The 12,604-nt window shown below is 38.9% G+C and overlaps 1 protein-coding gene across 5 annotated transcripts in view, besides 1 other annotated feature; it reads right to left on the reverse strand.

The window, feature by feature from the left end:
* The window catches only part of NUMB (NUMB endocytic adaptor protein), a 183,331-nt gene that overhangs the window by 111,853 nt on the left and 58,874 nt on the right, over positions 1-12,604 (reverse strand). The window lies entirely within an intron of this gene.
* Positions 10,625-11,128: an enhancer, noted in NCBI's record as "NANOG hESC enhancer chr14:73864401-73864904 (GRCh37/hg19 assembly coordinates)". NCBI's record gives its function as "activates a minimal SCP1, AML or CMV promoter by ChIP-STARR-seq in naive H9 embryonic stem cells {active_cell/tissue: H9 hESC(naive)}" and the evidence as "EXISTENCE:reporter gene assay evidence [ECO:0000049][PMID:30033119]".

Raw genomic sequence — 12,604 nt, forward strand, 5'->3', positions numbered from 1 at the left:
AGACGGGGTTTCACCGTTTTAGCCGGGATGGTCTCGATCTCCTGACCTCGTGATCCGCCCGCCTCGGCCTCCCAAAGTGCTGGGATTACAGGCGTGAGCCACCGCGCCCGGCCTATCAGGTGTCTTATTAAGTGACATGGTTTGGCTGTGTCCTTACCCTGATCCCCTCTTGAATTGTAGTTCCCATAATCCCCATGTGTCATGCGAAGGAATCATGGGGCGGTTACCCCCATGCTGCTGTTCTCATGATAGCAAGTGATATGTTTATACACGACGGTTTAATTCTTTACACAATCCTGTGAAATAGGTCATGGTATCGTATCTCCTTTAGGGGTAGAGAAAAGGATAAGAAAGGATATTGAAGTGCTACAAGGGAGTCCTTTTGTAAAAAACCTCACAAAATCTGATGGTTTTATAAGAGGCTTTTCCCCTTTTGCTTGGCACTTCTCCTTCCTGCTACCATATGAAGGACGTGTTTGCTTTCCCTTCTGGCACAACTGTAAGTTTCCTGAGGCCTCCCCAGCCATGCTAAACTGTGAGTCAATTAAAGAGACCTCCGGTGACTGAGGTACAAGAATCGCTTGAACCTGGGAGGCGGAGGTTGCAGTGAGCTGAGATCATGCTACTGCACTCCAGCCTGGGCTACAGAGCAATACCCAATCTCAAAAAAAAAAAAACAAAAACAAACAAACAAAAAAAAAACCAAAAAGGCCACTAGTCATATGTAGCTATTTTGATTTAAATTAATTAAAATGGAATAACATTAAATCTCTAGGTCAGGCTCAGTGGCTCACACCTATAATTCTAGGACTTTGGGAGGCAGGAGGATCATTTGAGCCCAGGAGTTTGAGATCAGCCTGGGCAACAAAGCAAGACTCTGTCTCTACCAAAAAAAAAAAAAAAAAAAAAATTAGCTGGTATGCACCTATAGCTCCAGCTACTAGAGGAGGATGACTTGAGACCAGGAGGTCAAGGCTGCAGTGAGCTATGATCATACCACTTCCAGCTTGGGCGACCAAGTGAGACCCTGTCTCTAAAAAAATAAAATAAAATAAAACTTCAGTTCCTCAAACTAGCCACATTTCAAGTGCTCGCTGGTTAATGGCTACCATATTGGATAGCATAAATATTGAACATTTTCGTTTCAGAAAGTTCTGGGCCAGGCATGAGCTCTTTCCACTACAAATTACCCAGTCTCGGGTATGTCTTTATTAGCAGTGTGAGAATGGACTAATACATTAAGAATTCTAATAGAAGAAACCTTATCACTAAAACTAAAATTCTGGAAAACCTTTCCTTGTAAGATATAACTTCCTTGTGGGGAAATATTTTTTAATTTAAAAAAGTCAAATAAATTTAAACTTTTAATGATTGTATTATAGCAGAAAGTAAATCTGGTGTTTATCAGAATAAGTTATTTATATAGAATAAAGTTGGTATCTTTTTTTTTCAGCTAGGCTTATGGCTGATCTAATTTAAAAATCAACGTTGTTTCTTTATTGTGGATCTGATAACTCAGTTTTACACTTTTAATCATTTGTAAATCAAATATTAAGGAAGAAACTTGACAGGTGTATATTTAACCAGCCACCTTCAAACTATAAAACCTTGAGGCTGAGTGCGGTAGCTCACGCCTGTAATCCCAGCACTTTGAGAGGCTGAGGCGGGCGGATCACTTGAGGTCAGGAGTTGGCAACCAGCCTGGCCAAAATATAGTGAAAGCCCGTCTCTAATAAAAAATACAATGGGCCGGGCGCAGTGGCTCACGCCTGTAATCCCAGCACTTTAGGAGGCCGAGGTGGGCGGATCACGAGGTCAGGAGATCAAGACCATCCTAGCTGACACAGTGAAACCCCGTCTCTACCAAACAAAATACAAAAATTAGCAGGGCGTGGTGGCGGGCGCCTGCAGTCCCAGCTACCAGAGAGGCTGCGGCAGAAGAATGGCGTGAGCCCGGGAGGCGGAGCTTGCAGTGAGCCAAGATGGCGCCACTGCACTCCAGCCTAGGCGACAGAGCAAGACTCTGCCTTAAAAAAAAAAAAAAAAAAAAAAATTAGCTGGATGTGGTGGTGCGCACCTGTACTCCCAGCTACTTGAGAAGCTGAGGCAAGAGAATCGTTTGAACCCGGGAGTCTGAGGTTGCAGTGAGCCAAGATTGCGCCACTGAACTCCAGCCTGGGTTACAGAGCGAGACTCCATCTCTCAAAAAAAAAAAAAAAAAAAAACAAAAACAAAAACACTGGTCTCTGTTTTATACATATCTTCTCTTTATTTATTTTTTTGAGACGGAGTCCTGCTCTGTCACCCAGGTTGGAGTGCAGTGGCACCACTGCAATCTTTGTCTCCCAGGTTCAAGCGATTCTCCTGCCTCAGCCTCCTGAGTAGCTGGGACTACAGGTGCGTGCCACCACACCCGGCTAATTTTTTGTGTTTTTAGTAGAGACAGGGTTTCACTGTGTTAGCCAGGATGATCTTGATCTCCTGACCTTGTGATCTGCCCGCCTCGGCCTCCCAAAGCACTGGGATTACAGGCATGAACCTCCAAAGTGCTGGGATTATAGGTGTGAACCACCGTGCCCGGCCCATCTCTTCATTTTATAAGGAGGGCAAAAGTTTAAAGTTAATACTATTCTCATGTTCAAAGATAAGGAAGTTCACACATGAAGAAAATGACTTTGAAATTATATAATTCAATAGTCACTGTTTAAAATGGGATAATAATGTATACCTCCTGATTTCCACTTGCATTCATTCCTCTTCAATGTACTACCTTAAATGATACTATCAGAAACACACAGGTTATGTGCACCACCTTATCCTATAGGTTTATATACCAAAAGACCACCAAAAGTTTAATCTACATTTTATATACTTATTACAAAAATGAAATATACCAAAAAACATTATAACATAACCCATGTTAGGAAAACATGTAAAGAACATTTTTAAAAAATAAAGGAAAATGACAGATGAGAAAAGAAAAAATATAAATCCATAATAGAAATATTTGATCCAACATTCTATTTCTAGGGGCTATACTAAGGGCATAATATAAGTACACAAAGGTAAATGTAAAAGAATGTTCATTGTAATACCATTTGTGATAGTAAAAATTATAAGCTTAATTATCAAAAAATGGGAACAAGTTGAATAGATTATGGTATATCTAAACCACGGCATACAATGTGACTTTTAAAATTATTAAGTGCTAAGAGGAGCCCCTCCTCCAAGAACATATTAGCATATTGGAATAGAGGGCAAATGTAGTTTGAAAAAACATTCCAAAGTTATCATTGGTTTGATTTGCTTTTAGAAACAGTAATTAATTTATTTTGAAATTTTATTAAACATTAAAGTGAGATTTTTGTATTTATCAAAGGAATTTTTCATGTTATCTGTTCAAACATCAAAGATCCAATCTTTCTTTGAAGCCTTCCCCAATCCTCCAAAGCAAAGTCAGATGTTCCCCCCACTGTTTCCCAAATCACTCTTGAGATACCTTTGTTATAGAAATCATTACCCTACTGTCTTATTTATAAGACTGATTTCCTTGAGGACAAAAACAAAGTCTTTTTTTTTTTTTTTTTTTTTTTTTTTTTTTGAGACAGTCTTGCTCTGTCGCCCAGGCTGGAGTGCAGTGGCGTGATCTCAGCTCACTTCAACCTCCACCTCCCAGGTTCAAGCAATTCTCCTGCCTCTGTATCCTGAGTAGCTGGGATTACAGACACATGCCACCACGCCCGGCTAATTTTGAATTTTTAGTAGAGACGGGGTTTCACCATGTTAGTCAAGCTGGTCTTGAACTCCTGACCTCAGGTGATCCGCCCACCTTGGCCTCCCAAAGTGCTGGGATTACAGGCATGAGCCACCACACCTGGCTGGTCTTAAGTATTTTTATACTCTTGATACTTACAACAGGTTTTGAAACACTATAGGCCCTCAATATAAGACTTGTTGAATATATTCAACCTCTATTTTTGAAAATAGAGGTTGAATATATATTCAAACTCTTTTTCTGCTATATTAGATACTCTACCTTGGCCAACTTTTTAAACCTTTCTCAGCCTTGGTTTTCTTTTCAGCAACAATGGGGATACAACACTATGACCTATTTCATAGGACTGTATAAGGAATTAAACCATCGTGCATAAACATATTTGGTCTCACTGGTGTATAAATGGCAATGAAAAAATCCTTTTCAGTGGATTTTTTTTCTTTTTTTTTTTTTGGATGACTGCATCTCCTTAGAACTGAAATGACTGAAATTATACAGATAATAATCTTGCAAAAATTTAAATTTTAAAAAATCATTTCTATCACATGGGACACAAATATCTAAAAGAAAAAAGAAAAAGAAAAAATCATTTTCAGTTGCATCTGTCAGGGGTTTATTATTTAATTAAATAATTATTTTTATTATTGATTGTCAATAATAAAATCACTAATTACTCTAACAATGATTCATTCTCCTATTTCAGACAGCTGTGAGCATCCATGATAAAGGTCAGTGGTTCTCAAGCTTTAGCATACATAAAAATCACTTAGATGGCTTAATGTACAGATTGCTGGGCCTCACCCCTAAGGTTTCTAACACAGTAGGTCTGGGATGAGGCCCCAGCATTTGCATTACTAACAAGCCCCTAGATGGTGCACATTTGAGAACTATTTATATAGGTAATTCAGCAATCAAGTGATACCAACAGGTAGAGGTGGGAGGAGTTGTAGTTTTCTGGCAATCTCATTAAATGTCCTAAGAGATGAAAAGACTACTATTGTCCACAGAATTGGGTTCTACTCAAATACTTTATTATAAAATAATCCTGGAAGACTGTTGTACATCTGTTTACCAATTCTACTGGGGAACTTCCTACCCATTTTGTGTATATACGGAAGAGGAGTAAGTGCAGGGAACATTAACTAAATCACCCAAGCCAGTCCAAAATCTTCCCCAGGGTTTTTTGTTTTGCTTTGTTTTGTTTTTTACATGATGGGGAAATATTACCTTGATTCCTGTAGGATTGCAACTATACAACCAATGTGAACTGGAGGTGCTTGCAACCATCTTCCCTTGATTACCTGAAGAAAGCTCATCTCAGGAGAAGTAAGGCCAAGAGGCAAAGGAAAACAGAGCTGAGAAATACAGGATCAAAGTAAAAGCCCCTGAAGGTCATTCTTGCCCCTAAATCTGTGCTATATCAGGTTTGATTGGATTAATTAATTACTTGAGCCAATAACTCTTTTTCCCCCTTAAAATGGGTTTCTGTCCCCTGCAATTATGAGTCCTAACTAAAACTGTGAATGAGTGAAAAAGTTGAATGCAAAGGCTCTAATAACACCTAGCTCTCCATGATAACATTTGAAAGAGAAATAGATTTTCAGATGAGAAGACATTTTGGCTGGTAGCCTGCAATCTGAAAGAGGCTACCACACTTGGAACTGTGACTGAAACTGTTTCACAAGCTTACAAGTAAGCTTCAATCAATACCTCAGGAAATTAGACAGTTGTGCCTTAGTCGATATCTAACCTGATTAAACTTTATTGGCTGTAGTTTATAGTCAACACAGATCTCTAAGTCTAGCCACACAGTGTCATATATTTATTTGGCCTATAATAACAATAATTAAATGTTGCAATTTACTCTTCCATTCACTGATTCTCTATTATATTAAGACACCATGATAACATCTAGCAGGTAGCAGTTCAAAAGAAAGAAAACCAGATTTAGGAACCATCTACACTGAGATGACAACCAAAGCTAGGAAAACTGAGTAAGTCTACCAAGGGTAAGAGGATCCTTAACCTGGTCCACACATGAGATTGGGGGATTTTTTTCTGGGCGGGGGGAGTTCTATGAAGTCCCAAAGTTGTAGGCAAAATTTAATAGACATGTGCGTTTTTCTGGGAGGAGGGGTCACTGCTTACGTCAGATTCTGCAAGAAGGATAAGAACCCAAAAAGGTTAACAGTGGTGAGGGGAGGAAATTATCAAGAGGGAACTGTGAAGAACACTTACTCATATTAAAAGAAGTTGAGAAGTTGAAAGGAATCTATAAATTACTAAGTGTCTATGTGAACAGTGCTGTGCACATTATATATCACATTGCATTTAATCCTGATAATAATCTGAGATGGTTTTCAGCAGCCCAATTTTACAGGTAAGAAAACTAAAGCACAGAGAAATTAAGTGGCTTGACTAAGGCTAGACAGCTATCCAGTCTACCACACTGTAGTGGAAGGTAAGATGAGTTATAAAATAAGGGGGCTATCATTCCAATTGCAATATTCACCATTTCTTTCAGAGCAGTAACTCTGACAACTAATTGTTAGGTCAAGAACATAAACTTTGGAGATAGCAATAAGAACAAAATCATGGAATGCTTAATTAAATCACATGATTTCTAAGGCTGTATAAATCTGGAAGATTGGCAATTTGACAGACTCTAATGCCATCATAAAATCAACAGTTTGTTTACAAAGCACTCATTCTAGCAAAAAGTCACTGAAGGCTGGAAGGCTGGAATAAGAGCCAGTTTTAATGTTTGCAGTTGCTCTTTAGTAACAATGCATCATCAAAAAACACTAGGTGTCAATAACCCAGTGCCAATGAAATATGGCAAACCTGCCTAAATTATTATTCTTTTCACCAATACTTGTGAATTCTGGCTCCTAATCTAATAAAAGTCTTTAAAATAAAGCACTTTCATTTTATTGTCTCTCTGAGCCAAGAAGAGTCACAAGTTTTTGCTGGGATCTTTTCCCCTCTTCTAATAGCTTTGCACCATTAGTAGCAACTTTCATAGCAAGTGGGTCTTAATATTAATACTTTTTTTGCATAATCTTAACTGTTTAAATTTAATTTTAAAATTAATTTTTTGTTAAGGTATAGTTGACAAATAAAAATTATTATTCTTTTTTGAGACGGAGTTTCACTCTTGTGCCCAGGCTGGAGTGCAATTGCGCGATCTTGGCTCACTGCAGCCTCTGCCTCCCGGGTTCAAGCGATTCTCCTGCCTTAGCCTCCCAAGTAGCTGGGATTATGGGCATGCCCCTTTAATTTTCTATTTTTAGTAGAGACAGAGTTTCACCATGTTGGCCAGGCTGGTCTCGAACTCGTGACCTCAGGTGATCAACCCACCTCGTGCTGGGATTACAGGCGTGAGCCACTGCATCCCGGGAGACAAATAAAAATTATGTATTTATGATATACAACGTGATGTTTTGATGTATGTATACATTGTGAAATGGTTAAATTGAGCTAATTAACATATCCATCACCTCACATACTTATTTTGGTTTTGTGAGAACATTTAAGATTTATTGTCTTTGCAGTTTTCTTTAAAAAAAAAAAAAAAAAAGAGAGAGAGATTGTCTCACTCTGTTGCCCAGGCTGAAGTGCAGTGGTGTGACAAAGCTCACCACAGCTTTGAATTCCTGGGCCCCAGTGATCCTCTGGCCTATGCCTCCTGAGTAGGTGGAACTACAGGCACAAGTCACCACACTCTGCTCTCCTTTTCAAGTATATAATACATTATTATTAACTACAGTCACCATTGTTGTACAAGGGATCTCCAGAACTTATTCATCCTAACCGAAACTTTGTACCCTTTGACCTGTTCCCTCTCTTCCTCCCTAGATCCTGGCAACCATCATTCTACCAGACTGTTTCTGAATTTGACTTTTCAAGACTCCACTTATAAGTGAAATCATGAAGTATTTGTCTGTCTTTTCTTTTTTTTTGCTTATGCATTTCTTCATTTGAAACAAAAAATAACATTTCACATTCTTTTATTCTTTCATGTTTATATTCAGAATAAAAGTCAATATTAGCACCCGGCAATCTTTGTTTTTTAATAAAGCCACATTGTCTTTCTGTGCCTACCTTATTTCAGTTTGCATAATGTCCTCCAGGTTCATCCACAATGTTGCAAATGAAAGGATCTCCTTTAAGGTTGAATAGTATTCGTGTGTTTGTGTGTGTGTGTGTGTGTGTGTGTGTGTGTGTGTGTGTGTGTGTGTGTGTGTGTTACATGTGGCTGTATCTCTAGCCTGGGAAACAGAGCTAATACAATAATAAATACAGGGATTAAAAAGGGATTAGAATAGGTATTCATAAGTATAGCTACACATGATGTATACACACACACACACATACACACACACTCTCTACATTTCTTTATCCATTCATCTGTTGATGGACACTTAGGTTGATTCCTATCTTGGCTATTGTGAATAAATGCTGCAATGAATCCTAATACATTTTAAAGGGGTGGTGGGCTGGGCGTGGTGGCTCATGCCTATAATCCCAACACTTTGGGAGGCAGAGGTAGGTAGACTGGTTGAGCCCAGGAGTTTGAGACCAGCCTGGGCAACATGGCAAAACCCCATCTCTACAAAAGATACAAAAATTAGCCTGGCAGTGGTGTGTCCCTATAGTCCTAGCTACTTGGGAGGCTGAGGTGGGAGGACTGCTTGAGCCCGGGAGGTCAAGGCTGCAGTGAGCCGTGATCATACCACTGCACTCCAGCCTGGGTGGCAGAGCGAGACTCTGTCTGTAAAATAATAAAATATTAAAATTTAAATTAAATTTAAAAGGGGTTATTCCAGAATGATGTTAATGTGCCAGAGATGAGGAATGAAACATAGGTTAATCATTCACATAGGGATTAAAAGTAGGTATTCATATGTATAGCTACACGTGACATTAGGTGTTCTACAGGCAATGCATAGTTTTTCCTGTGTCTCAACTGTCCTCTTTGAAAAAATGGAAATAACCTTAAAATACATTATTGTTGAAGACAATGAAGGTGAATTGAGTTCTAGAATGGCTAGATGGATACAGACACAGCTGAAAGAGAAATAAAATCCTTAACATAGCTGTTTCTTCTATATATGGAAAATAAGTCTAAATTGGAGTTGATATCAACTTCAGGTAGAAATGAAAACTAACATAGTCTTTTTTATTTTTATTTTTTTTATTTTTTAGAGACAGGCACATGCCATACACCAGCTAATTTTTTATTTTTATTTCTTGTAGAGATAGGGACTTATTCTGTCACCTGGCTGGGGTGCAGTGGCACGACCATAGCTCACTGTAACCTCAAACTCCTGGGCTCAAGTGATCCTCCTGCCTCAGTCTCCCAAAGTGCTGAGATTACAGGCATGAGCTACCATACCTAGCCAGCCTGCCCCTCTATCCATCCATCTACCCATCTATCCATCTATCTAATCTATCTATTTACTTTAATTATTAGGGGTGTGTGTGTGTGTGTGTGTGTGTGTGTGTGTGTGTGTGTTTAAGCAACAAGGTCTTGCTCTGTGGCCCGAGCTGGAGTACAGTGGCACAATCATAACTCACTGGAACCTCATACTCCTGGGCTCAAGGGATCTTCCCACCTCAGCCTCCAGAGCAGCTGGGACTACAGGCCCATACCACAAGGCCTGGCTAGTTTTTTTGTGTATTTTTTTTGTTGTTTTTTTGTTTTGGAGAAACGAGGCCTTGCTATGTTACCTGGGCTGGTCTCAAACTCCTGAGCTCAACTGATACTCCTGTCTTAGCCTCTCAAAGTGCTGGGATTACAGGTGTGAGCCACCAGCCTTTTTAGAATACAGTTTTGCAATATGCAACTAAAGACCTTAAAATGAACATATATTGAGGAATATTTCACACAGAATCATCAGACCAATCAGATAATTTACGGTATATCTATACCAGTGGTTCTCAAAATTTAGCATGTATCAGAATCACCTAAAGTGTTTGTAAAACCATAGATAGCAGCTGGCGCAGTGGCTCATGCCTGTAATCCCAGCATTTTGGGAGGCTGAGTTGGGCAGATCACTTGAAGTCAGGAGTTTGAGACCAGTCTGGCCAACACGGTGAAACCCTGTCTCTACTAAAAATACAAAAAATTAGCCAGGCATGGTGGCGCACACCTGTAATTCCAGCTGCTCAGGAGGCTAAGACAGGAGAAACACTTGAACCCGGGAGGCAGAGGTTGCAGTGAGCTGAAATCGCACCACTGCACTCCAGCCTGGGCAACAGAGTGAGTGATATGCCGTCTCAAAAAAACAAAACAAAACAAAACAAAATAACCACAGATTCCTGGGCCCCCAAACCAGGTTTCCGATTCAGTAGGTCTGGGTGGAGGCCAAGAATATGCACTTCTAACAAATTCCCAAGTAATGCTGGTATCTCTGGTCCAAGGACCATGCTGAGAATCATTGATCTAAAAAATGGACTTCTATGAAACCATTAAAAATGAAGATCTATATTCATTGATATGATATATATGCATGCAGTGGTGTACTGATAAGCCAGCCTGGGGAGGAATTCAGCGGGGAGAAAGAAGCCCTGCTTTGTAGCATTTGCCAAATTCACTGATGTAGCTGATCCCACCATTGCTAATATCAAGCTACCAACAATTTGGGCTTGCATAACTTCTTAATTATTGGCTCTGGTGAGATAGTGCTAGCTGGTCCAAGCACACTAACTAGAAAAATATCTAACAAGATATAAGGCAAAATGGTAATTAAGCAGTTATCTTTGGGTAAAAGAATTTTAGGGATTTTCTTAATGTCTTCCTGTATTTTCTTAATTGTTTTATGAGCATTCTCACTTTTATAATAAAAATCTATTAACAATTAAAAATGAAGTTATTTGCATCGGCTATATCTTTCTGGTCATTAAATATTCACACACATACATTCATTCATATATGTGTCTATAAAGGTTTGGATTAAGAGTTCTGTATAGTTGGAAGTTTTGCACCCCCTCTAAAGAAGACATTGATATTTAAACATTAAGAACAAGTCTACTACTGCACTCTCCTTCTGTGTTAACCTGGCCTTGATGAAGTGGAAAAAGAAAGAATGGTAAAGGCCCAGCTGAGAAGTCTTTGAACTCTAGCCCTGGAGCATCAAGGGCTAGAAGTGTCTGTTTACAAAACGAAGCATTAACAGCTGCCCTAGAATCCAAGCGGAAAATAGCCTAAGACAGCCTGCAATGCATGTGCTATAAAACCCAGTTTCACAAAAAGAGCAGGAATATAATCCCACTAGCTTTGCCACATAAAAATGTAGGTCTGATTAACAGTTCACCAAATTGTTAACGGAAAAAAATCAAAAATAGCTTAAATATCCCACAATAGAAGATTAAATAATTTAAAGCTATAAAATGGAATATGCACCTATTAAATGGTGATATTTTAAAATTTCTAACAACATGGGGAAATGGTCATAAATTATTGTGAAAGGAAAAAATGTAAGAAAACTGTGTATATAATCCCATTAATAAACTACATATTTGTATATGAGAGAGAGACACACACAGAGAGAGAGAGAGAGAGAGAGAGTGTGTGTGTGTGTGTGTGTGTGTGTGTGTGTGTGTGTTTAAAGACCAGAAAAATATAGCCAAGGTTAATAGCAATTATCTCTGGATTAGGGTATTATAGATGATCTTTTTATATTTGCCCATTTGTATTTTCAAAAATATCTACAGCAAATATATATTATTTGGGTATTTTTTTTTTTTAGTCACCAAGCAGGGGAAACCCAAATTGTAACAAGTAAATGAAAAGATGCCCAACCTCACAATCAATCACAGAAATAGAAATTAAAACAATATACTTCTTTATTCCCATCAGATTGACAAGGCTAAACAGATGGATAAGACCAAATATTGGTGAATATTTAAGGAAATGGGAATTCTAATTTACTACTGGTGGGAGCATAAACTGGGTAGCCATTCTAAAAAACAACTTGGCAATATTTAGTGAAATTAAGTATGTGTACGGGCCACAAGTCAGCAATTCCTTTTCTCGGTATATACTAGAGTAACCTTTGCACATATCAATAGGATATATGCATAAGGATGTACACAGCAGCACTATTTGTTTTAGTTTTCAACACACCTAGGTATCAATTATTAGAGAAACATACAAGTAAAATGTGGAAATACATATACAATGGAACATTATACAACAGTCAGTTGTTGTAAACTAGATTTACAAATACAGTATGCGCTTCCATAATTCCTTTTTTTGATCAAAAAAGAATAAATAGATTCACAGCATAATACCATTATACGGATTAAAAACACATACACACAAAACAATATGAAAATATTTCAAAAATAAGCACTTACTTACATTAAGCATATTAAATAGTTGGCCCTCCACATCCATGGGTTCAACCAGCTATGGACTGAAAATATGCCAGAGCCGGGCACAGCGGCTCACGCCTATAATCCTGGCACTTCGGGAGGCTGAGGCGGGCAGATCACCTGAGGTCCGGAGTTAGAAACCAGCCTGACGAAAATGGAGAAACCCTGTCTCTACTAAAAATACAAAATTAGCCGGGTGTGGTGGCGCATGCCTATAATCTCTGCTACTTGGAAGGCTGAGGCAGGAGAATTGCTTGAACCCAGGACACAGAGGCTGCAGTGAGCCGAGATTGTGCCATTGCACTCCAGCCTGGGCGACAAGAGAGAAACTATGTCTCAAAAAAGAAAAAAAAATATGCCAGAGAAAAAAAGGCTTAGCCATATGCAGTGGCTGACATCTGTAATTCCAACAACTCCAGAGGCTAAACTAGGAGGACTGCTTGAGGC

This window comes from Homo sapiens, chromosome 14, assembly GCF_000001405.40.
Source record: "Homo sapiens chromosome 14, GRCh38.p14 Primary Assembly".
NCBI classification, from domain to species: Eukaryota; Metazoa; Chordata; class Mammalia; order Primates; family Hominidae; genus Homo; species Homo sapiens.